The sequence below is a fragment of the Homo sapiens genome, chromosome 5 (assembly GCF_000001405.40).
Source record: "Homo sapiens chromosome 5, GRCh38.p14 Primary Assembly".
NCBI classification, from domain to species: Eukaryota; Metazoa; Chordata; class Mammalia; order Primates; family Hominidae; genus Homo; species Homo sapiens.
In genome coordinates this window covers 151,834,859-151,862,032 of record NC_000005.10, presented here as the reverse complement: position 1 = coordinate 151,862,032, position 27,174 = coordinate 151,834,859, and the positions used below count along the sequence as shown (strand labels likewise).

The following is a 27,174-nucleotide window of genomic DNA, read 5'->3' as shown; positions in this document are numbered from 1 at the left end:
TATAGTTTGAAGTCAGGTAGCGTGATGCCTCCAGCTTTGTTCTTTTGGCTTAGGATTGACTTGGCAATGTGGGCTCTTCTTTGGTTCCATATGAACATTAAAGTAGTTTTTTCCAGTTCTTTGAAGAAAGTCATTGGTAGCTTGATGGGAATGGCATTGAATCTATAAATTACCTTGGGCAGTATGGTCATTTTCACGATATTGATTCTTCCTATCCATGAGCACGGAATGTTCTTCCATTTGTTTGTGTCCTCTTTTATTTCGTTGAGCAGTGGTATGTAGTTCTCCTTGAAGAGGTCCTTCACATCCCTTGTAAGTTGGATTCCTAGGTATTTTATTCTCTTTGAAGCAATTGTGAATGGGAGTTCACTCATGATTTGGCTCTCTGTTTGTCTGACAAAGGGCTAATATCAAGAATCTACAAAGAACTCAAACAAATTTACAAGCAAAAAAACAAACAACCCCATCAAAAAGTGGGTGAAGGATATGAACAGACAATTCTCAAAAGAAGACATTTATGCAGCCAACAGACACATGAAAAAATGCTCATCATCACTGGCCATCAGAGAAATGCAAATCAAAACCACAATGAGATACCATCTCACACCAGTTAGAATGACAATCAATAAAAAGTCAGGAAACAACAGGTGCTGGAGAGGATGTGGAGAAATAGGAACACTTTTACACTGTTGGTGGGACTGTAAATTAGTTCAACCATTGTGGAAGACAGTGTGGCGATTCCTCAAGGATCTAGAACTAGAAATACCATTTGACCCAGCCATCCCATTACTGGGTATATACCCAAAGGATTATAAATCATGCTGCTATAAAGACACATGCACACGTATGTTTATTGTGGCATTATTCACAATAGCAAAGACTTGGAACCAACCCAAATGTCCATCAATGATAGACTGGATTAAGAAAATGTGGCACATATACACCATGGAATACTATGCAGCCATAAAAAAGGATGAGTGCATGTCCTTTATAGGGACACGGATAAAGCTGGAAACCATCATTCTCAGCAAACTATTGCAAGGACAAAAAACCAAACACCGCATGTTCTCACTCATAGGTGGGAACTGAACAATGAGAACACTTGGACACAGAAAGGGGAACATCACACACCAGGGCCTGTCGTGGGGTGAGGGGAGAGGGGAGGGATAGCACTAGGAGATATACCTAATGTAAATGACGAGTTAATGGGTGCAGCACACCAACATGGCACATGTATACATATGTAACAAACCTGCACGTTGTGCACATGTACCCTAGAACTTAAAGTATAATAAATAAAAAAAAACAAGAAGCTAGTAAGATGTGACTCCATGACATCTAGTAAACCTTTCCAAACAAATCAACATATGTCACAGTAAGTTATAGAAGGCTGGTATTAAAAGCGAATGGGATGAACCCTAGGACCAGCAGGAACACTACAGAATTCTTCCGCCCATCCCTCCTTCACTTCTTGAGAATTAATTGTTCTCTTTAGGCAGAATAGTTTGAATGCTCAGACATCAGCTTTGATTTTTTCCTTTCATTCCTTCAATTTGTCTAGACCAGTGACTCTCAAATCTTAGTGTGCCTAAGAAGTACTGTAGTATTGGGGTTGAGGGTAAAAGGGGGACTTCAATTTATCTGCAATGTATTTTTTCTCTTATTTAAAAAAAATGAAGCAAACATGACAAAATATTAACAGGATGATGAAAACAAGTGTTCATTACATCCATCTTTGAATTTTTCTTTAGTTTAATTTTTTTCAAAATAAAGAATAACATTTACATAATCTCAGTTCAGGGTTGAATATACCTCATGGGGCATTTAGAGGATTTTCAGGAGTAATTATGACTCCCATGGTTTTGCCTGATACACACCTTTTATGTCTCACCCCCATATAAGATGCAACCACACTTAATAACATCCTCCAGAAAAGGTTTTACTGGCCAAAAGCACCCAGGTCCTCCAAAAGTTGATGTCCTTGGGCCTAACATTGCCTTCACCTTGTTATTTCCTGGCTGTAGGACTATAGGGTCAACATCTTCCTGCGGCAGCAATGGAACGACCCCCGCCTGGCCTATAATGAATACCCTGACGACTCTCTGGACCTGGACCCATCCATGCTGGACTCCATCTGGAAACCTGACCTGTTCTTTGCCAACGAGAAGGGGGCCCACTTCCATGAGATCACCACAGACAACAAATTGCTAAGGATCTCCCGGAATGGGAATGTCCTCTACAGCATCAGGTGAGTTCTGACCAGGTTCACCCACTCCCTGCTCAGAACATGTCTTGCCCCACTACCTTCTGGGCATAGACTCTAAAAGAGGGGCCAAACAGAGGTGAACAGGCCCTGGCAACCCAACACCTTTGCAGAATAGGTAGACCCAGCTCTGTAACTTATACTCGGCAAGTAAGAATAAAATACAATGGGGCATTTTATTCAGGAGCCAATGATTTATTATAACCAAGGAGACTAAGAAAGCCATCCTAGAGAAAGTGGGGTTGAAGTTACTCAGCATTTCAATCAAACAAGATAGGAAAGAGTATTCAAGCATGATTACCAATAATAGCAGGAACTAAGGCATAAAGCCTAGAAAATCACAGCAACTTCAAAGTAAATGAGCCTGCCAGGTGGATGGTGTTGCTCACGGTCAAGGCCAGGGATACTCCCTTCTATAAAATCTATCCCCCAAACTTTGCACTGGGTCTAGGGGTTTAGATTTCCTTCTCCAGATGTGGAGTATCCTTGAGATATTGGCTAGGGGCAAAGCCTTCAGAGTCTACTGCCACCCCTCCACACCAAGTCCCTGATCTCCTCTCCTAAGGCATAAGGAAAATGACCAATGTCCAAGAGGTGAAAAAATGTCCTTACACATGTAATAATAACAGCTACCATTCATGAGAATTCACTAACTATGCCAGGTACTTTTCATGTGTTATATCCAGCCCTCCTAATAACCCCATGAAGCAGGTTTTACCAGGCCCATTTTTCAGATTAGACAAATGAGAATCAGAAAAATTTAAGTAACCTGCCAAAGTTTCCAGTTTGTTAGTAGCAGAGCCTAGATTCTAATCTATATTAGTGTGAATCTGATGCCCTCTCAAAGTCCTATAGCAGTGCATGGCATTCAATAGGCACTCAAATATTTGATCAATATATGAATATGTTTTTATTTCAAAGAGCTTAAAAAAGGGCGCTGGTCCTAAATGTCTTCTCCTCCTGCTCCAGTCCTTCAGGGAAACACGTTTTTTTTTTCCTTTGGGTGATGAGCCTTAACTGTCCAGGCCTGTGGGAGAGGCTGTACAGATCCTAACCCTCAGGTTTGACTGAACTCGGTCTTTCCTGAAAGCAGGCTGGGTAGGGGAGGGAGCTTAGGAACCTCATCATCAAGAGCAGGCTTGGAGGAACCCGAGGCTTACATGGCCTTCCTCGCTCAGGAGCCCACCTTCCCATCCCCTCAAGTAAACATCCAGACTGGAAGAGTGACAGGCTTAGGAAATGGCCATCCAGGCCCAGCTGGCTGCGGGGATGGTAAGGTCAGCCTGCTTGGATTTTGCTGCTGCCAGACTAATTTCCTATCTCTAGGAAGCTAAGTCCTGGTACAGCATGATAGGACAAACCAGCAGAAAGTGACATTTCCAAGGTCATTCGACTTCAGGAAATTAACCCAGTGTGACAGCTGCCCCACTTTGGAGCTTTTATCTGCAGAAATTCAACTGCATTCACTTTCTCTTCACTTTTTCCCTCCTTCCACTCCCTTCTTTTGCCTCTTCTTCCTCAGCCTCTCCCTTCCATTTTTCCCCTTTTGCTTCAACCTTGTGCTTAAAGGGGCCCACATCCAGAGCTGTGGGTGTGAGCTGGAGGAAGGAAGTTCACAAAGGGCTGTGTACCTCATCACATGCAGCCAAAGTGCCAGTTCAGGTCCACTAGAACACCACCAATTAGGTATCTTAGGGTATTGGGGTTGGCTTTGCAGGAGAGCAGTGCTGCCAGCAAACACCTGAGTCAACCCCACCATGGGACTCAGAATCCAAAGGCCAGGACACATGGTTTTGAATCCTGGCTGATGTATCAGCTTGCTGTGTGACTTTAGATGACTCTCAACCTATCCCTCTCTGCACCCTGGGTTTCTCACCTGTCACATGAGGGAGTTGCCTTGATGATCTAAGGCTCTTTGGGCTCTGAAAGCCTTTCTTCTCCATCCCCTGCAGCAGGCACTCAGATGTTGGAAAAGCCTTTCAAGCTGGAGTCTTGTATTCCAGCTTGAGCTGCAGGCCTCAAATTCTGTTGAGAGGACTCCCTCTGGTTCTGAGTCTGTGGCCTCTGTCAGGGTTGAACAACCAAAATAAACAGCTAGCCCAGAATCCTGAGGAGCCCACCCCTTTCCAGTCGACCCCAGCATGAGCCTACTGATGTAGTCAACTGTGTCTGGACACCCAGAAGGCAGAGGGCCTCTTTGAAATAACCTTTGATGAGCCCTGTGTGTGAAGAAGGTAGCCAAGAACCACTTGCAACACCTGCTGCAGGTGCACATGGGTGCTGCTCAACTTAAAATTTGAGCTCTGTCCCTACCTGAGGGCTATGCAGAAGAGTAAGGAACAGGGGCAGCCCCTGGCCTCCAGGCAACTTGCTAAAGACAGGTCTCCAGAGGCCAGAAAGACTCCAAAAAACCCAGAAGTTCCCTGACTGTGTCACTTGAGGCAACCTATTTTTACCTCTCTAAACCTCCATTTTTCAATCAGGAACTTGGAAATACACACATAATTATTTAATAAACATGAGTTGTCCACACCCACCGCCACCCAAAGGTGCTGCATCCCAGCAGCCATCGGGGGCTTTGTCTAGGCTGGGCAAAGTTGGCTGGGAGACCAGATGGCCACCAGGTCACTGAGGTGGGGTGGGAAAAGAGGTTTGTCGCTGCTTCAGGCCTGGGCCCAGCTGGTGGGAGCCACAGCAAGGCCTTTGGGAGCCTGGAGGACAGAGCCTGCCGCCAGGCCCGGGCCCCCAGCTCATCTGCACCTCCAAGGCCAGAGGGCCTGCAGGTCCCCAAAGCAGCTGACTGCACTCTGCTTCCCACCATGCTTCCTGCCAGAACTCCTTGTGGATTTTTTATCCTTCAGTTTTGCTAAATTCCTTTATTTGTGTTAACAGTTTGTATGTGTGTGTATGTAATTTGCAGGGCTTTCTATATATGAAAATCATGTCACGGCCGGGCATGGTGGCTCATGCCTGTAATCCCAGCACTTTTGGAGACTGATGTGGGAGGACTGCTTGAGCCTGGGAGTTCGAGACTAGCCTGGGCAACATGGCGAGACCCCGGTCTCTACAAAAAAAAATTTAAAAATTAGCAGGCATGGTGGCAGATGCCTATGGTCACATCTACTCTGGAGGCTGAGGCAGGAGAATTGCTTGAGCCCAGAAAGTCAAGACTGCAGTGAGCCATTATTGCATCATTGCGCTCCAGCCTGGGCCACAAAGAGAGATCTCATCTCTCAAAAATAAATAAATAAACAAAAAAACAAACACAAGTTCCCTGACCTTCTTTCCCTATCCTGGGCAACTGATTTTCTAACAATAACTAGAATAGAGGCACAGCCTCCCTGATGTGCAGATCCTGCATCATTCAAAATCCCTTCTCTTCCCAGAATCACCCTGACACTGGCCTGCCCCATGGACTTGAAGAATTTCCCCATGGATGTCCAGACATGTATCATGCAACTGGAAAGCTGTGAGTGTCTTGCATGAGTCCTCTAGAAAGAACCAGGCTCCTTTTTACCCATGGGATAGGCAGAAATTCCCACACAGCTGCTCCTAACCACTAGACCCCAGGAGATTACTGTAATAACCCAAAATATTCAATGAAGGACTTTGCTTTTAGAAAATGCATTAGAAATATAACTTCCCTTACATTGCCTAACTGAGGCCCATGTTTTGGAGCCAGCAGCATTCTCCAAAGGGTCATTGTTCCATGTCTATGGTAAATGTGAACGGAGGAGAAATGGCTTGAATAAGTCATGGTCCTTGAACCCACAAGATGTTCACTCCAGCAGGGGAGGTAAACAACTGACTGCACAAATAACTCTACTAAAGGGCGGCAAGTGATTGGTGTGTTGTTAGAAGTACAAAGCACTGTGGCCTCGTGGCAGAAAGCGTGCTTCCTTCTAATGGAGAAGGAAAGAGGTTATTGGAGTAGACTTTATGGAGGACTGGGATTTTAACAGATTGGATAGCAGACTCCTTTGATTGCAAACAGAGAAACCAATCTGACTAACTTAAAAATACAGAAACCAAGGCAGAGCACTTAGGCAACAGGAACTAATGGACCATTTCCTTGGAGCACTACCCGTGAGGGGAATCAGCACAAACCAATTCTGAACCTCTTGTTACTTCACTCAATAGTTGCTGAAGTGCTGGGGCACAGTCTGGCCTAGCTTGAGTCACCTTTTCACACTTTCCCCCGTCTACCCCAGCCAGTGGTTAGTCCCACCAAGAGAGCGTGCAATAGAGTTGTTCCACAGAGGAGTATCTGCTGTGAGCAAAAGAGGAGGCTGGCAAGGATGGTGTGCAGGTGAAAATAGCAGATGTCCACTGCATTTCACCATGGGAGTGAGAGGGGGAACAATAGGACAAACTAATGCAGAAGGTTGGGAAGAGAGGTGGAAGGGCTCTGATGTAGATATAAATAATTAACCAGTTTTTTACCTCTTTTGAGAGGAAAAAAAAGGAACCTGGTCTCACAAGTTCCATCAAGTGTCTGATGTCTCTCTCAGTCTCTAACCCTAACCAATCCTGACATGCTTCAAACAAGTGCTTCTGAGTGGTGACTGCTCCTTCTTCTGATCCCATCCCAGTTGGATATACGATGAATGACCTCATCTTTGAGTGGCAGGAACAGGGAGCCGTGCAGGTAGCAGATGGACTAACTCTGCCCCAGTTTATCTTGAAGGAAGAGAAGGACTTGAGATACTGCACCAAGCACTACAACACAGGTAGGTACAAGGGCCACCCTCCTCAGATCCCACCCCCCAACCAGGACCAGAGGTCATTTCAGACACATTCAATCATTGATCCAACAGATCTTATGAAGATTACCTAGTGGTTAAGAGAATAGGTTTTGAAACAAAAATGTGGCTCTGACATTTTCTTCCTGTGAGTCCTGGAGTGAGTAACTTAAGCTTGGGCCATACCTAATTACGAGGGAAGCTGGTAAATACAGTCATTATTCCAGGTAGCAGAATGGATCCTATTTCTAAGGCAGAAGTAAAGAACTGATATTGGGAAGACACCTAGTAGTCTCTGTCACAGATGAACTGGCATTTCCAATAGAGCAAAAGTAGAGAGAATGCTCACAATAGACCTCAGCAAGAGGGAGCTGAGAGGTGTCACTGAAGGTTAGTAAATAGCTAGAAAGGGTTCACTTGCCTGTGAGCTATGAGAGGTCAGAGAAGCCACGATGGTGTAGCTTAGCTCTCTATTTCCCATGCTTTTGTTGGAAGATTGAATATCTGGATGACTGGGGCCAGATCAAGACTGGCTTTGCGTATCCTGTCTCAGGCTGAGAACAAGCTCATAAAAGCATGGAAGAAGAAAGTCAGTCAATTGGTATAACAGCTGGAAGGATGGGTAGGAAGCTGGGGTCTGAACCCAGATGCACAGAGTAGAGAGGCATGGCAAGCCAGCAAGAGGAGGAGGTGAAAGAGAGAGATTGAGAGAAACCATCGTAGGCTCTGGTGTAAGTAGAAAGCCCAGTGAAGGTACAGGCAGCCTGGGCTGCAGTCTGTCTTGGGTAGCTGCCTCTTTCTGAGTCACCTCAGAGATGTTTCAGAACCTCCAAAGATACTCTCTTTGTTCCTTGAGCCATAATGGTATTCCCATAGCAGCCATGAAAGCAATGACTCCCAAGTCAAATCACCACAACTGACCCTCACATACCAAGTCTTTTACTCTTTATACAGCATTTTCTTTTCTTTTTAGCTTTCTTAAGGTATAACTGACCAATAACAATTGCATATATCGAAGGTATGCAACGTGATGTTCTGATATACATATGCATTGTGAAATAATTACCACACTCAAGCTAAGTAACATATCCATCAACTCACATACTTCTCATTGTGTGTGTGTGTATGTGTGTGTGTCTAGTAAGAACACTTTAAGATCTACCCTCTTAAAGACCTAAATTTAAGATTAAGCTAAAATGATAAAACTTCTAGAAGACATGAGGACAAATCTTCCTAATCTTAGATTTGGCAATAGATTCCTAGATATAACACCAAAAACACAAGCAATAATGAAAAAACAATAGATAGATTTGACTTCATAAATATTAAAAGTGCATCAAAAGACACTATCAAGATAGTGAAGATAAAGAACCCACAGAATGGGAGAAAATACTTGCAAATCATAAATCTGATGGGGTCAAATATTCAAAATATATTTAAAAACTCTTAAAATGTAAGAAAAAGAAAAAAAAGGCCAGGCATGGTGGCTCATGCCTGTAATCCCAGCACTTTGGGAGGTCAAGGCGGGTGGATGACTTGAGGCCAGGAGTTTTAGACCAGCCTAACCAACATGGTGAAACCCTGTCTCTACTGAAAATACAAAAAAAAAAAAAAATTAGTTGGGCATGGTGGCACATACCTGTAATCCCAGCTACTTTGGAGACTGAGACAGGAGATCCCTTGAACCCAGGAGACAGAGGCTGCAGTGAGCTGAGATCACGCCACTGCACTCCAGCCTGGATGACAGAGCAAGACTCTATCTCAAAAAAGAAAAAAAAATAAGTAAAAAGGAGATCTATCCTCTTAGCAAATTTCAAGCACACAGGACAGCACTGTTAATTCTAGTCACATTGCTGTACATTAGATCTCCAGAACTTATTCATCTTGCACAACTGAAATTCTGTACCCTTTGACCAACATCTCCCAATTTCCCCCATCCCTCAGCCTCTAGCAACCACCATGCTACTTTTGGCTTCTGTAAGTATGACTATTTTAGATTCCACATATAAGTGAGATCATACAATATATGTCTTTCTGTGTCTGGCTTATTTCACTTAATATAAAAATGTCCTCCATCTTCATTCACATTGTCATAAATGGCAGAATTTCCTTCTTTTTTAAGGCTGAATAATGTTTCATTTTCTTTATCTATTCATCCATTGAGAAATATATCATGGTCCAGCAATCCCACTTCTAGATACATATCCAAAGGAAATGAAATCAGTACCTCAAAGACATATCTGCACTCCCATGTTCACTGCAGTAATATTCACAATAGCCAAGATATGGAAACAACCTAAATGTACACAGCATATTCTGATTCATTTCACTTGCTCTTCACCATTTTCATTTAAGTTAGAGCTGAACTCTGTGCTAGACCCTATGGATGCAAGAAGAAAAGACTGACAAGTCCCTGCCTACAGCTTACAGTCCAGGGAACTCCAGGAAATTCGCTATTGTGCTTCAGTAGACAGGAACTAAGATCCCACCATAAGACTGGCCCCATCCCAGTTCCAGGGATACACAGACAGGGAGCAGACAAGCTGCCTAGTCTAGTGCAGAAGACAGATAGAAAGAGAGACTGACTTGCCCATTCACTCACTGTATTATATCTTGAAGGCTCTCATGATCATGTGAACAGGGCTCAGGGAACACAGAAAAAGAGCAGCATTCTGTCTGGGAGAATCTTCACATTTACACTGCCATGGAGGAGAAGGAAGATTTATTTGGCTGGTTGTGGGAAGGAACAAGGGCATTCTGGGCAAAGGGATGAGCAAGATCAAAAGCTCAGAAACATGAAAGTTCAGGGCATGCTCAAGGCAAGGGATGGCATATAGGGAGTCATGATTAGGGTGAAGAAAGATGGGGAAGGGGATAGAAAGACTGGTTAGAGCTTGATTATAAAGGGCAGGCTAAAGAGTTTAAACTTTTTCCTGTAGGTAATGGGAACTGCCTTGTATGAGGAAAGAAGGATGAGACCAAAGGTTTTACAAGAGGAAATAACAGGAACAAGTCATGTTTTGGGAAGATAACTGGCAGAAAGGTAGAGAAAGTTCTACTTAGTCAGGCCCATTCTTAGCAAGAAAATATTGATGATGATGATGATGATGATGATGGTAACAGTGATGTTGGCAATTGACAATTCTGAACATTTACAATGTATGAGGACTGCTAAGTTTTTCATAAGCATCATCTCATTTTATCCTCACATTAATCATATAAGTAACTATATGATGGAGGTATTATTGTTATTATCCCCAGTTTACTATACATAAGGAAACAGATACAGAACAATTCAAATACTTGTCTAAGGACACAGGTAGTGTGAGACTGAACCAGGACTCTAGCCGAGGTTGTTCTAATCCTAAAGCCTTTTGTCCTATTCACCAGGCTACACTGCCTTCTCACTGCAATTTCTTGCAGGTAAATTCACCTGCATTGAGGCCCGGTTCCACCTGGAGCGGCAGATGGGTTACTACCTGATTCAGATGTATATTCCCAGCCTGCTCATTGTCATCCTCTCATGGATCTCCTTCTGGATCAACATGGATGCTGCACCTGCTCGTGTGGGCCTAGGCATCACCACTGTGCTCACCATGACCACCCAGAGCTCCGGCTCTCGAGCATCTCTGCCCAAGGTAAGTCCCATTGCCCAAGAGCACAGAACACCTGGACAAATAAGGACAGCACCTACTTCCTTGCTCTGCCTAAAACATGGGGAGCAAAGGAATTATTCACTACTTATTTATCTACTATACTTTGCAGGATCCTGCAGATCTTTGCAGGTTCTACACTTTTCTGATCCATCAAACCTTCCACCAGACTCAACATTATGTTCAATACGAGTTGCCAGACACCACATTCTGCTCCACTGTCTACCAACACCAGACACACATTCTGCTTCATTTACTATTAACACTCAACTTCACATTCTCCTCCATTCACTTTTAGGGCTAAGTACAATATTCTGCTCTTTTCACCATTAATAGTAAATACTGTGTGTCAGGGATCTCCAACACTAATCTCATATCTAGAGATTTGATAGAAAGATTCATAGGACTCAGCATAAAGTTGTATTTGCAGCTAAGATTTATTTATTTTTTAATTTTTTGAATTAAAAAAAGACCTTTATATTCCACCCTTTGAGTTGCAATTGGGACAATTGGGAGAGGGGGAAGAGTTGGAGTGGGATGAAGAACTAGGAGGGGCTCGACGGCTGGAGGTCTTGTCCACTTAGTTTTTGTACTGGAAGGGCTCATTGCCGGTTTCATTGAGAAGACACGTGTTGATGAGGGCTTCTGTCACCGAAAAGGGTTCGCAGTGGCAGAGGGGCAACAGTCTTCAAAGTAACCCTTCTTCTCCTGGCCAACAGTCCAGGGAATGTGTATGTTGGCACTACGATTGGCTACACCAGCAGAAAAGTCGTTGATGTTGGAGGTTTCATGGAATCCAGCTAGGTGTTGGGCTTTGTCCAGGCCTCCCTTGGGATCATAAGCGTGGATGTGGTACTGGTGCCACTGCTTAGTTTCTCGATGGCCTCCTCAGTGTACTTCAGACCATTCTCCTCCCACATGGCCTTGGTGCTGAAGTTGGTATGGCAGCCTGAACACTTCCTGTTCCCAGGAATGGGCTTGGGATCAAAGGTTGCTATCACTCCAAAGTCTTCACATACATGATGCAAAATGAAACAGCCCACCCAGAAATGATCTCCCATGCTGATTCTTTCACAGGGTCCGGTTTGAAATTCCCACTGGGCAGGCATGACCTCAGCATTAGTACCCACCATCTTGGCTCCAGCATACAAGCAGGCCTGGTAATGGGCCTCCACGATGTCCCTGCCATGGGCTTTGCCTGCTCCCACACTGCAGTAATATGGACCCTGGGGTCCTGGGAAGCCATTGGAAGGCCAACCAAAGTGGTACCCATCTGTCCCCATGAGGGTATATTCCTGCTCCATGCCAAACCAGGGTGCTGGTTGCTCACCATGTCCATTATCCACTTACAAGTGTGCCTCAAATTGGTCACTGCAGGCTTTCGGTTGTACTCGAAAACTTCACAGAACACCAGCTTGTAGGGTCCTTACTGAAGGTATCCCAAAACATGGCAGGAGGCATGAAATGCATGTCACTGTTGGAGCCTTCAGACTGTAAAATACTAGAGCCATCAAAATTCTAGGCTAGGCATGGTGGCTCATGCCTGTAATCCCAGGACTCTGGGAGGCCAAGGCAGTTGGATCACCTGAGGTCAGGAGTTGGAGACCAGCCTGGCCAACATAGTGAAACCACGTCTCTACTAAAAATACAAAAAATTAGCTGGGCGTAGTCACACACACCTGTAATCCTAGCTACTCGTGAGGCTGAGGCAGGAGAATCGCTTGAACCTGGCAGGCCGAGGTTGCAATGAGCTGAAATCATGCCATTGCACTCCAGCCTGGGCAACAAGAGTGAAAACTCCATCAGAAAGAAAAGAAAGAAAGAGAGAGAGAGGACAGAAAGAAAGAAAGAAAAAAAGAAAGAAAGAAAGAAAGAAAAGAAAGGAAGGAAGGAAGGAAGGAAGGAAGGAAGGAAGGAAGGAAAGGAAAGGAAAGGAAAGGAAAGGAAAGGAAAGGAAAGGAAAGGAAAGGAAAGGAAAGGAAAGGAAAGGAAAGGAAACGAAAGGAAGAAAGGAAGGAAGGAAGGATGGAAGGAAGGGGGAGAGAGAGAGAAAGGGAGGGAGGGAGGGAAAGAAAGAAAGAAGAGAGAGAAAGAAAGGAAGAGAGAGAGAGAGAAAGAAAGAAGGGAAGGAAGGAAGGAAGGAAGGAAGGAAGGAAGAAAGGAAGGAAAGAAAGAAAAGAAAGAAAAGAAAGAAAGAAAGAAAGAAAGAAAAGAAAAGAAAAGAAAGAAAGAAAGAAAGAAAGAAAGAAAGAAAGAAAGAAAGAAAGAAAAGAAAAGAAATAAAAAGGAAAGAAAAGAAAGAAAGAAATCCCACTCAGGCAACTCTTCCACACAGTTGGGCTCACTGTCCAGAGTCTGGGTCTTGCAGCGCCATCCTTCTCCAGTACCATCGATCCAGACATACATGGCCTGGACTTTCTCACCCTGAGACAGGGACATGTACACCTGCTTAATACCTTTGTTTAAGTGGGAATGTGCTGAGGCGGTCATGGTGGAAGGTGTTCTGGGCGCTGAGCAGGCGGGCGGGTAAAGGTAGGCCATGAGAGTGAGGTGAGGAGAGGAGAGGAGAGGAGAGGAGACCGCCGTGCTGCTCACACACTCCGCTCTTCTCCCATTCTCAGCTCTCCACAGCTAAGATTTATTACAGCAACATATTCAGAAGATACAGCTAGCTCATCAGGGGGAAAGAACATAGGCAGAGACTAGAGGAATCCATGTGCAGGCTTCCTTACTCTCCCGCTCCCATGAGGGGTCACACAGAATGCACTCTTACTCCAGCAACAACAATGCAGACACGTGTGTGCTGTGTTTCTGCCCCAAAAGACAGAAACACAGAAACTCTTAGTCAGGCATGGTGGCCCGCGCTTGTAATCCCAGCTACTCAGGAGGCTGAGGTAGGAGAATCACCTGAACCCGAGAGGCGGAGATTGCAGTGAGCCAAGATGGTGCCACTGCACTCCAGCCTGGGCAACAGAGTGAGACTCCATCTAAAAAAAAAGAAAAAGAAAAACAGAGTCTGCTCTAAGATTCATTAGAGGCTCAGCGTGCCATGTTTTAACTGGGGGCTGGTCACATCAGCACCCTCTGCCTAGCATGTGCCAAAATTCCAGACTCCCAAAAGGAAAGCAGATTGTTCAGCATGAACCAGATTGTTTGTACAATCTAGGCACAGCGAGCCAGCCTTATCAGTTAGGGAAAGTAGGAATACTCCCAAAATCCAAGTTCCCAGATGCCATCCAAGAGGCAACCTTGCAAGCAGGCCCTTTCTAAGATAGCAGCCTCAGGCCTGTTTTGTTAACCCTTTTCTGGACACACTTCAATTTGATACTTACATTTCTAGTGTTAAACACCACATTTGCTGTTAACTCCTAAACCATATTCTGCTTCATTCACTATCAGCACTAGACACAGCATTCTGCTCCATTCACTATTAATGTCAGATACACATTCTGCTCCATTCACCCTTATGCTAGACACAACATTCTGTTCCATTCACCTCTAACACCAGACAGAGCATCTCACTTCATTCATTACTAACACCAGGCACTATTTTTCTTTCAGTCACCCTTACGATCAATACAACCTTCTGTTCCCTTCACTGTCAACACTAGATCTTGCATTCTGCTTAATTCACTTTTTTTTTTTTTTTGAGACGAAGTCTCACTCCGTTGCCCAAGCTGGAGTGCAGTGGCACTATCTCGGCTCACTGCAACCTCCACCCTCCACCTCCCGGGTTCAAGCGATTCTCCTGCCTCAGCCTCCCGGGTAGCTGGGACTACAGGCACGCGCCGTCATGCCTGGCTAATGTTTGTATTTTTAGTAGAGATGGGATTTCACTATGTTGGCCAGGCTGGTCTTGAACTCCTGACCTCGTGATCCACCCACCTTGGCCTCCCAAAGTGCTGGGATTACTTAATTCAGTTTTAACGCTAAACATAATGTTCCGTTTCACTTACGGTTAATGCTAGACACCATATACTCCTCCATTCACCCCTAGTTGAGGTACAACATTCTGTTCCCTTCACTATTAATACTTGATACTTCATTCTACTTCACTCTCTTTTAATGCTACATGCTGCATTCTACCACATTCACTATTATTGTTTGAGTCACATTCTGCTCTATTCACTCAACAATAGACACAATATTCTGCTCTATTATTAATGCCAGACACCACATTGTGCTTCCTTTAGCCTTCTGCTAAAAACAATGTTTTGCACCATTTCCAATTAATGCTGCTTAACATTCTGTTTTGATATAGAAAAGTTGAAAGAACATACAATAAACACCCTCACACCCTTTACCCAGATTCACCAGTCATCATTTTCCCACATATACTGTCTTAGTTTAGGTAGACAGATGGATAAATAGATAGATAGATGGGCAGGTAGGTAGGTAGATGCAATTTTTGCTGAATCAACAAAGACATGGCAATTCACCTCAAAATAAGGAAGGAGAATCACAATGACATTATCACATCTTTAAAAATTAACATTAACTCAATGGTTATTATTGAGTTAGAAATAATTCAATTTGAAATAATTCAATAATATCATCTAATACAGAAACTTTATTTAAATTCTCCCAGTTGTCAAAAAAGTCATCAGAAAATATGATGAGGGATCCAATCAAGGATCCAATTCATATTGCACACAGTTGCTCTATTTTGTCTCTTTTAACCTAGAACAGTCTCCCAGCTGTTTTTTGTTTTTCATGACACTGACTATTCCATTAACTTTTAACGTGAGACACAACATTCTGTTTCATTTGCCATCAGCAGTAGACACCACACTCTCCTCTATTCACCCTTAGAACAAAACTCGACAATATGCTCTCTGCAGCATTCACACTAGACCTCAAATTCTGCTACATTCACTACAAATGCTTGAATCCACATTCTCTGATCACTATTAACACCTGACAACACATTCTGCTGTGTGCAATTGTAGCAGCAGACATAATGTTCTGCTTTCTTTTCCTTATGTTAGATTCAACATTCTGCTCCACTCACTATTAATAGTTGATGCCACATTCTTCTCTACCTATGGTTTACACTAGACTCAACATTCTGCTGCATTTGTGGTTAAAAATATTTGGCTCCATATGTTATTAACACTCAACTCCACCTTCCCCTTCATTCATACTTTTTATTTATTTGCCTTTTTAAGCATTAGATTTAGTTCCTTTTAGTATATTCACAAAGTTGTACAACCCTATCTATACAACTGCCTATAGATAGTATCTAATTCCAGAACATTTTCATCACCCAGAAAGAAAATCCATACCCTCCAACAGTCACTCCTCATTCCCCACTCCCAAGAGCCTCTGGTAACAATAAATGGATACTTAACTACCTGTATAAATTTGCCTTTTCTGGACATCTCGTATAAATGGAATCATACAATATGTGGCCTTTTACGATTGGCTTCTTTCATTTAGTGTAATGTTTTCAAGGTTCATCCATGCTGTAGAATGCATCAGTACTTCATTCCTTTTTATGGCTGAATAATATTCCATGGTATAGATATATCACATTTTGTTATCCATTCAGCAGTTAGGCATTTGGTTTATTTTCACTTTGGCTATTATAAATAATGCTGCTGTGAACATCTGTGTACAAGTTTTTGTGTGGACATGTTTTTAATTCTCAAAGGTATATATCTAGAAGTGAAACTGTTGTGTCACATGTTAACTACATGCTTAACTTTTTGAGGAACTGCCAAACTGTTTTCCAAAGCAGCTATACCATTTTATGATCCCACCAGGGTTCCAACGTCTGCACATCTTCACAAACATATATTATTATCTGTTTTTTTTAACTATAGCCATTTAGTGGGTGTGAAATGGTATTGCATTGTGGTTTTGATTTGCATTTTGCTAACGAATAATAATGCTGAGCATTGTTTCATGTGCTTATTGATCCCTTCTGTATCTTCTTTGGTGAAATGTCTGCATTTCTGCTCCACTCACTATTAAAATCTTTTGCTCACTTTTGTTATTTGTCTTATTGAGTTGTAATAGTTCTTTATGTATTCTGGATTTTAGACCTTTATTAGATATAGGATTTGCACATATTTTCTCTTGTTCTATGTGCCGTGGTTTAGATTCTTTTCCCTTCCAAACCTTGTATTAAAATTTAATCCCCAACATTGGAGAAGGGTCCTAATGGAAGTGTTTGGATCATAGGAGTGGATTCCTCATGAATAGATTAATGCCTTCTCTTAGGGGTGACTTCTCACTATATTCATTGTTTAAAAAGAGCCTGGCCACAGGTAATACACCTATGTAACAAACCTGCATGTTCTGCATATGTATCCCAAGACTTAAAATAAAATTTAAAAATAAATAAAATTTTAAAAAATGATTTTTAAAAAGAACCTGGCGTCTCCCACCCACTTCTTGCTTCCTCTCTCACCATGTGATCTCTGCACATGATGGCTTCCCTTCACTTTCTACCATGAGTGGAAGCAGCCTGAGGCCCTCACCAGATGCCCAATCTTGAACTTTTCCAGACATCAGAATTGTGAGCCAAATAAACCATTTTTTCTTTATAAATTATCCCATCTTAGATATTCTTTTGAAGTAACACAAAATGGACTAAGACTCTATGGGTTTTCTTTTCACTTGGTTGATAGTATCATTTATGCTCAAAAGTTTTTAATTTTGATAAAGTCTAATTTATCTGTTTTTTCTTTTGTTGCTTACGCTTTTGGTGTCTTTTTTTTTCTTTTTCTTTTTTTTTTTTTTTTTTTTGAGATAGAGTACTACTCTGTCACCCAGGCTGGAGTGCAGTGGCACAATCTCAGCTCACCGTAACCTCTCCCTCCCAGGTGCAAGAGATTCTCCAGCCTCAGCCTCCCGAGTAGCTGAAATTACAGGCATGCACCACCATGCCTGGCTAATTTTTATATTTTTAGTAGAGATGGGGTTTTGTCATGTTGGCCAGCCTGGCCTCGAACTTCTGACCTCAAGCAATCTGCCTGCCTCAGCCTCCCAAAGTGCTGGGATTACAGGCGTGAGCCACTGCTCCTGGCCTTGGTGTCATTTTTTAGAAACTATTGCCTAATCCAAGGTCATGAAGATTAATACCTGTATTTTCTTCTAAGAGTTTCATAGTTTATCTCTTATGTTTAGGTCTTTGGCACATTTAGATTTATTTATATATGTGATGTGAGGGAAGAGGTCCAACTTCATTTTTTTTTTTTAAGACATAGTCTCACTCTGTCACCCAGGCTAGAGTGCAGTGGCATGATCTTGACTCACTGCAACCTCCGCCTCCTGAGTTCAAGCGATTCTTCTGCCTCAGCCTCCCCAGTAGCTGGGATTACAGGCATGCACCACCACACCTGGCTAATTTTTGTATTTTTACTAGAGAAGGGGTTTCACCATGTTGTCCAGGCTGGTCTCAAACTCCTGACCCCAGGTGATCTGCCTGCCTTGGCCTCCCAAAGTGCTAGGATTACAGGTGTGAGCCACCGTGCCCAGCCCAACTTCATTCTTTCACGTGTGAATATCCAGTTGTCCCAGCACCATTTGTTGAGAAGAGTATTCTTTTCCCTGTTGAATTGATACCCTCGTCAAAAAAATCAACTGACCTATAAATGGACTGGCTTACTTCTGGACTCTCAATTCTATTGCATTGATCTATGTGTTGATCCTTTTGTCAGTACCACACCGTTTTGATTACTGTAGCTTTGGAGTAATTTTTAAAATTTGGAAGTGTGAGTCCTCCAATTTTGTTCTACTTTTTCAAGATTGTTTTGGCTACTCTCTGTCTTTTTCATTTGAACACAAATATAAATTTTAGAAGCAGCGGCCAGGCATGGTGGCTCACACCTGTAATCCCAGCACTTTGGGAGGCTGAGGTGGGCAGATCACAAGGTCAGGAGATCTAGACCATCCTGACTAACATGGTGAAACCTCGTCTCTACTAAAAATACAAAAATATTAGCCAGGCATGGTGGCAGGTGCCTGTAGTCCCAGCTACTCAGGAGGCTGAGGCAGGAGAATGGCGTGAACCCGGGAGGCAGAGCTTGCAGTGAGCTGAGATCGCACCATTGCACTCCAGCCTGGGAGAGAGAGTGAGACTCCATCTCAAAAAAAAAAAAAAAAAAAAAATTTAGAAGCAGCTTGTCAATTTTTGAAATGAAAAAAATAGCTGGAGTTTTAATAAAGAATGCATTGACTCCATGGACCAATCAGGGGAGTATTGCCATCTTAACAATATTATGTCTTCCAATTCCATCAACATGGGATTTCTTCTCATTTATTTAGGTCATCTTTAATTTCTTTCAAAAAAGATTTCTAGTTTTCAGTGTACAAGTCTTGCACTTATTTTGTTAAATTATATAACAGGTGTTGTACAGATATATTCTTTTATGCTATATAAATTGAATTGTTTTTAAGTTTAATTTTTAAATTATTCATTCTAGTCTATAGAAATACAATTGATTTTTGTATGTTCATCTTGTATCCAATAACTTTCCTGAACTCATTTATTAACTCTAGGTCTTTTATACATCCTTAGGATTTTCTTTATACAAGACCATGTGATGTACAAATAGAGATGGCTTTATTTTTTTCTTTCTCACCTAGATGTCATTTATTTCTTTTTCTCAACTAATTTCCCTGGCTAGATCTCCCAGTACAATGAAGAATAGAAGTAGTAAGAACAGATATTCCTGTCTCATTCCTGGTCTTACAGAGAAAGCTTTCAGTTTTTCACTGAAAACTGAGGTTAGCTGTGGGTTTTACATAGATGCCCTTTACAGTTTGAGGAAGTTTTCTATTCTTAATGTGTGGAGTATTTTTACCATGAAAGCTGTTGAATTTTGTCAAATCCTGTTTCTGCATCTATTTAGAGGATCATGTGATATTTTTCCTTTATTTTATTCATATGGTGACTGATTTTTGTATGTTCAACTAACATTGCATTCCTGGGATACATCCCACTTACTCATAACGTATAATTCTTTTTCACATGTCACTGGATTTGGTTTGCTAGTGTTTTCCTGAGAGTTTTTTTTTTTTGTCTGTATTCATAAGAGATGTTGATACGTAGTTTTCTTTATTGTGATGTCTTTGGTGTTGTTATCAGGGTAATACTTGCTTCTTAGAAAGAGTTGGGAAATGTTCTATCCACTTCCACTTCTCTGAGAGTATAAGAAGGATTTGTGTGAATTCTTTAAATGTTTGGTAGAATTAATGAAAGAAGCCATCTGGTCCTGGACAATTCTTTGTCGAATTTTTATTACTAATTCAATCTCCTTACATGTTATGTGTGTATTCAAAGTTTCTATTTTTTTTTTTTTTTTTTTTAGATGGAGTTTTGCTCTTGTCATCCAGGCTGGAGTGCAGTGGCACGATCTCGGCTCACGGCAACCTCCAACTCCTGGGTTCAAGCAATTCTCCTGCCTCAGCCTCCCAAGTAGCTGGGATTACAGGCACACGCCACCACGCTCAGCTAATTTTTGTATTTTTAGTAGAGATGGGGTTTCTCCATGTTGGCCAGACTGGTCTCAAACTCCTGACCTCAGATGATCCACCCGTCTTGGCCTCCCAAAGTGCTGGGATTACAGGCATGAGCCACCATGAATGGCCTCTATTTCTTTCTGGGTCAGTGTCTTTTTAGGAATTTGTCCACCTCATTTAGGTTATCAAATTTATTGGCATACAGTTGTTCAAAGTATTCCCTTATAATCCTTTTTATTTCTGTAAAGTCAATGATAATGCCTCCTCTTTCACTCTTTTAGTAATCTGATTCTTCCCTCATTTTTTCTTGAACAGTATAGTTAGAAGTTATTCAATTTTGCTAATTTTTTCAAAGAATCAACATTTGGTTTCATTGATTTTCTCTATTATTTTTCTACTGTTCTACTTATTACCATTCCAATCTTTATTATTTTCTTCCTTCTGCTTGCTTTGACTTTAGTTTGCCCTCCTAGTTTCTTAAAGTGCAAAGTTATTGATTTAGGACCTTTCTTCTTTTTAAAATAGGTGTTTACAGTTATACACTTCCCTCTAAAAATGATTTTAGCTGCATCTCATTAGTTGTAGTATGTTGTGTTTTCAATTCTCCTCAGAGTATTCCTTAATATATCTTTTATTTATTCTTTGATGCATTGTTTAATTTATTGTTGTGAGTTTTCCAACTTTCTTTTGGTTATTGATTTTTAATATTCCATTGAAATCAGAAAACATATTTTGTATGATTTCAACTATTTTAAGTTTGAGACTTGTTTTATGCATAATAGTATGGTTTATTCTGAAAATACTCCATGGTGCACTTCAGAAGAATGTACATTCTTCTGTTACTGTGTGGAGTGTTCTATAGGTGTTCTTTAGGTCTAGTTGGTTTACAGTGTCAATTAAGTTTTTCATTTCCTTGGCAATCTTCTAATTATTCTATTCATTATAAAAAGCAGGGTTTTGAAGACACCAAGTATTATTGTTGAATTATCTATTTATTGCTTCAATTCAGGCAGTTTTGCTTCATATATTTTGGGGCTCTGTTGTTAGATGCATAGATGTTTATAATTGTTATATTTCTTGATGGATTGACTCATTTATTATCAAATGCTCTTCATCTCTTATTAACAATTTTTTTTTCTTAAAGACTGGTTTGTTTGTGGGTTTTTTTTTTTTCTGATGTTGGTATAATCACCTAAAGGCCTCTTTTGGTTACTGTTTACATGGTATGTTTTTTCCATTCTTCTACTTTTATCCTAGTTGTGTCTTTGAATCTAAAGTGTATCTTTTATAGACAGTATGTAGTTGCATTTTATTTTTTAATCCAGTCTGACAATCTCTAACTTTCAATTAGTTTGTTTAGTCTATTTCCACTTAATTTAATTAATGTAATAAAAAATGCGATTTCGTATAATTTACATCTGCCATTGTGTTGTTTTCTATATATATCTTATCTTTTTTGTGTCTTTGTTCCTCCGTTACTGCCTTTTTGCATTAAATATGTATTTTTGTGAGTGCAGTTGCTCATGCCTGTAATTCCAGCACTTTGGGAGGCTGAGGCAGGTAGGTTGCTTGAGCTCAGTAGTCCAAGACCAGCCTGAGCAACATGGTGAAATCCCATCTTTACAAAAAATACTTTTAAAAAATTAGCTGGATGGAATGGCATACAGCTGTAGTCCTAGCTACTTGGGAGGCTGAGGTGGGAGGACTGCTTGAACCTTGGAGATTGAGGCTGCAGTGAGCCATGCTGGCAACACTGCACTCCAGCCTGGGTGACAAAGCAAGACACTATCAAAAAAAAAAAAAACAGTATTTTCTAGCGTGTCATCTTAATTCCCTGGTCATTTCTTTTACTATTTTTTTCCAGTTATTTTTTTCATGATTGCCCTGAGGATTACAATTTCATCTTATTTTAGAAACATCTAATTCAGATTATTAATACTAACTTAATTACAACAGTGTCTTAGTTTACTTGGACTGCTAAAAGAAATGCCACAGATTTGGTGGTTTAAACAATAAAAATTTATTTTTCATAGTTCTGAAACCTGGGAAGTCCAAAATCAAGGTGGCAGCTAATTCAGTTGCTGGTGAAGGTTCTTTTTCAGGTTTGCAGATGACCACTTTCTTGCTTTGTCCTAACATGGTAGAGAAAGAGTTCTGGTATCTCTTCTTCCCTAAATCCTATTGAATTAAGGCCCCACCTGTAAGATCTCACCCTAAAGATCTCACCTCTAAGATCTAACCCTAACCCTAACCCTAAGTCTAACCTAATCACTTCCTCATAGGCCCTGTCTCCAAATACAGTCATAATGGGGGTAAGGACTTCAACATACAAATGCTAGGGGCACACAAATATTCAGTTCATAACAAACAGTACGCAAAAAACTTTGCTCCTATATATATCTCAATTACCTCCCCCTTCCTTTGCACTATTATCATACAAATTACATCTTCATTATATGTTGATTAACACAGGTTTACAATCATTGATTTACTCAACTGTCCTTTAAATCAGATAGGAGAAAAAAGTTATAAACAAAAACTGCATTTTTTATATTGTCTTGAATATTTACCTATGCAGTTACCTTTACTAATACTCCTTATTTCTTCGTATGAATTTGAGTTACTGTCTAGCATCCTTTTATTTCAGCCTAAAGGGCGTCCTTTAGTATTTCTTGTAGGACAGATCTGCTAGCGGAAGTCTCTCAGCTTTTGTTTACCTAAAAATGTATTTTTCATTTTTAAGGGATACAGAATTCTTGAGAAAAATTGGCAGTCTTTTCCTTTCAGCACTTTGAAAATGTTATCCCACTATCTTCTGTACCCGATGGTGTTAATGAGAATACAACTGTTAATCTTATCAAGAATCCCTTGTACAAAAGGAGTTGCTTCTCTTTTGCTGTTTTAAGATTCTGCCTTTGCAGGAGAATTTCTTGAACCTGGGAGGTGGAGGTTGCAGTAGCAGAGATCTAGCCACTGCACTCTAGCCTGGGCAACAGAGCGAGACTCCATCTGAAAAAAAAAGATTCTGACTTTGTCTTCTGACATTTTGATTAGGATGTGTCTAGGTGTGGATCTCTTTATCTTACTTGGATTTCCCTGTGCTTCTTAGATGTATAGATTACTATTTTTAATCAAATTTGATAAGTTTTCAGGCACTATTTTTTTAAATATTCTTTCTGTCTCCACTGCAAATTCCTATTAAACATTATGTTGGTGCATTACATGGTTTCCCACAGGTTTCTGGGGCTGTTTATTTTTCTTCATTCTGTTCCTCAGACCATATAATCTAAAATTCACTGATTCTTCTTTAAGTTTCCTGATTCTTCTGTCTTCTTAAATCTACTGTTGATTCCATCTAGTGAAGTTTTCATTTCAGTTATTTTACTTTTCAACTCCAGAATTTCTATTTGGTTCTTCTTTATCATTTCTTTTTTTGAGAAGGACTCTCACTCTGTTGCCCAGGCTAGAGTGCGGTGATACGATCTCGGCTCACTACAATCTCTGCCTCCTGTGTTCAAGCAATTCTCCAATCTTAGCCTCCCGAGTAGCTGGGATTACAGGCATGCACCACCACACCTGGCTAATTTTTTCTATTTTTAGTAGAGACGAGGTTTCACCATGTTGGCCAGGCTGGTCTCAAACTCCTGACCTGAGGTGATCTACCTGCCTCAGCCTCCCAAAGTGCTGGGATTACAGGCTATCATTTCTCTTTATTAATATGCTATATTTGGTGAGACACTGCTCTCATATTTTCCTTTAGTTGTTTAGACATAGTTTCCTCTAGTTTGTTGAACATACTTAAAATAACTGATTTAAAGTCTTTGTCTATTAAGTCCAGCATCTGGGCTTCCTCAGGGACAGCTTCTTTTGACTACTTTTCTCCCTATGTATGAGCCATACTTTCCTCTTTCTTTGCATGTCTTAGAATTTTTGTTAAAAATGGACATTTTATTTAAGTTCTGGGATACATGTGCAGAACATGCAGGTTTGTTACATAGGTATACACACGTCATGGTGGTTTGCTGCACCCATCAACCCATCATCTACGTTAGGTATTTCTCCTAATGCTATCCCTCCCCTAGCCCCCTACCACCCAATAGGCCCTGGTGTGTGATGTTCCCTGCCCTGTGTCCATGTATTCTCATTGTTGAACTCCCATTTATGAGTGAGAACATGCAGTATTTGGTTTTCTGTTCTTGTGTTAGTTTGCCGAGAATAATGGTTTCCAGCTTCATCCATGTCCCCACAAAGGACATGAACTCATCCTTTTTATGGCTGCATAGTATTCCATAGTGTATATGTGACACATTTTCTTTATCAGTCTATCATTGGTGGCCATTTGGGTTGGTTCCAAGGCTTTGCTATTGTGAACAGTGCTGCAATAAACATACGTGTGCATGTGTCTTTATAGTAGAATGATTTATAATCCTTTGGGTATATACCCAGTATTGGGATTGCTGGGTCAAATTATATTTCTAGTTCTAGATCCTTCAGGAATTGCCACACTGTCTTCCACAATGGTTGAACTAATTTACATTCTCACCAACAGTGTAAAAGCATTCCTATTTCTCCACATCCTCTCCAGCATCTGTTATTTCCTAACTTTTTAATGATGGCCATTCTAACTGGCATGACATGGTATCTCATTGTGGTTTTTATTTGCATTGCTCTAATGACCAGTGGTGATGAGCTTGTTTTCATATGTTTGTTGACTGCATAAATGTCTTCTTTTGAGAAGTGTCTGTTCATATCCTTTGCCCACTTTTTGATGGGGTTGTTTTTCTTATAAATTTGTTTAAGTTCTTTATAGATTCTGAATATTAGCCCTTTGTCAGATGGATAGATTGCAAAAATTTTCTCCCATTCCGTAGGTTGCCTGTTCACTCTGATGATAGTTTTTTGGTTTTTTGTTGTTGTTGTTGTTGTTTGCTGTGCAGAAGCTCTTTAGTTTAATTAGATCCCATTTGTCAATTTTGGCTTTTGTTGCCATTGCTTTTGGTGTTTTAGTCATGAAGGCTTTGTTTGGGCCTATGTCCTGAATGGTATTGCCTAGGTTTTCTTCTAGGGATTTTATGGTTTTAGGTCTTACATTTAAGTCCTCAATCCATCTTAATTTTTGTATAAGGTGTAAGGAAGGGGTGCAGTTTCAGTTTTCTGCTTAAGGCTAGACAGTTTTCCCAACACCATTTATTGAATAGGGAATCCTTTCCCCATTGCTTGTTTTTGTCAAGATCAGATGGTTATAGTTATGTGGCGTTATTTCTGAGGCCTCTGTTCTGTTCCGTTGGTCTATATATCAGTTTTGGTACCAGCATCATGCTGTTTTGGTTACTGCAGCCTTGTAGTATAGCTTGAAGTTGGGTAGTGTGATGCCTCCAGCTTTGTTCTCTTGGCTTAGGATTGTCTTGGTTATGTGGGCTCTTTTTTGGTTACATATGAAATTTGAAGTAGTTTTTTCTAATTCTGTGAAGAAAGTCAATGGTAGCTTGATGGTGATAGCAATGAATCTATAAATTACTTTGGGAAGTATGGCCATTTTCACAATATTAATTCTTCCTATCCATGAGCATGGAATGTTCTTCCATTTGTTTGTGTCCTCTCTTATTTCCTTGAGCAGTGGTTTGTAGTTCTCCTTGAAGAGGTCCTTCACATCCCTTGTAAGCTGTATTCCTAGGTATTCTATTCTCTTTGCAGCAGTTGTGAATGGGAGTTCACTCATTATTTGGGTCTCTGTCTATTATTGGTGTATAGGAATACTTGTGATTTTTGCACATTGATTTTGTATCCTGAGACTTTGCTAAAGTTGCTTATCAACTTAAAGAGATTTTGGGCTGAGACAATGGGGTTTTCTAAATATACAATCATGTCATCTGCAAACAGATATAATTTGACTTCCTCTCTTCCTATTTAAATACCTTTTATTTCTTTCTCTTGCCTGACTGCCCTGGCCAGCACTTCCAATACTATGTTGAATAGGAGTGGTGAGAGAGGGAATCCTTGTCTTGTGCTGGCTTTCAAAGGGAATGCTTCCAGCTTTTGCTCATTCTATATGATACTGGCTGCAGGTTTGTCATAAATAGCTCTTATTATTTTGAGATACATTCCATCAATACCCAGTTTATTGAGAGTTTTTAGCATGAAGGGGTGTGGAATTTTATCAAAGGCCTTTTCTGCATCTATTGAGATAATCATGGGTTTTTGGCATTGGTTCTGTCTTTATGATGGATTATGTCTATTGATTTGCATATATTGAACCAGCCTTGCATCCCAGGGATGAAGCTGAATTGATGGTCATGGATAAGCTTTTTGATGTGCTGCTGGATTCAGTTTGCCAGTAATTTATTGAGGATTTTCTAATCGATGTTCATCAAGGATATTGGTCTGAAATTCTCTTTTTTTGTTGTGTCTCTGCCAGGTTTTGGTATCAGGATGATGTTGGCCTCATAAAATGAGTTTTGGTATCAGGATGATGCTGGCCTCATAAAATGAGTTAGGGAGGAGTCCCTCTTTTTCTATTGTTTGGAATAGTTTCAGAATGAATGGTACCAGCTCCTCTTTGTACCTCTTGTAGAATTTGGCTGTGAATCCTTCTGGTCCTGGGCTTTTTTTGGTTGGTAGGTTATTAATTACTGTGTCAATTTCAGACTTGTTATTGACCTTTTCCGGGATTCAACTTCTTCCTGGGTTAGTCTTGGGAGGGTGTATGTGTCCAGGAATTTATCCATTTCTCCTAGATTTTCTAGTTTATTTGCATAGAGGTGTTTACAATATTCTCTGATGGTAGTTTGTATTTCTGTGGGATCAGTGGTGATATCCCCTTTATCATTTTTATCGTGTCTATTTCATTCTTCTCTTTTTTTTTTTTTTTTTTTTTTTGAGATGTTGTCTCGCTCTGTCGCCCAGGCTGGAGTGCAGTGGCGCAATCTTGGCTCACTGCAAGCTCCACTTCTCGGGTTCACGCTATTCTCCTGCCTCAGCCTCCCAAGTAGCTGGGACTACAGGCGCCTGCCACCACGCCCGGCTAATTTTTTGTATTTTTTAGTAG

General features: G+C 41.0%; 1 protein-coding gene and 1 pseudogene across 4 annotated transcripts in view; one reads left to right on the top strand and one right to left on the bottom strand.

Moving 5' to 3' along the window:
- Positions 1-27,174, top strand: part of GLRA1 (glycine receptor alpha 1) — a 102,339-nt gene that overhangs the window by 62,819 nt on the left and 12,346 nt on the right. For all 4 annotated transcript variants that reach the window (NM_001292000.2, NM_000171.4, NM_001146040.2 and 1 more), the window contains 4 exons: positions 2,025-2,248; positions 5,650-5,732; positions 6,856-6,993; positions 10,429-10,643. In NM_001292000.2, coding sequence (NP_001278929.1) covers positions 2,025-2,248; positions 5,650-5,732; positions 6,856-6,993; positions 10,429-10,643 — 660 coding nt within the window. The remainder of the gene's footprint in view (positions 1-2,024; positions 2,249-5,649; positions 5,733-6,855; positions 6,994-10,428; positions 10,644-27,174) is intronic.
- GLULP1 (glutamate-ammonia ligase pseudogene 1) lies at positions 11,115-13,283 on the bottom strand (annotated as a pseudogene).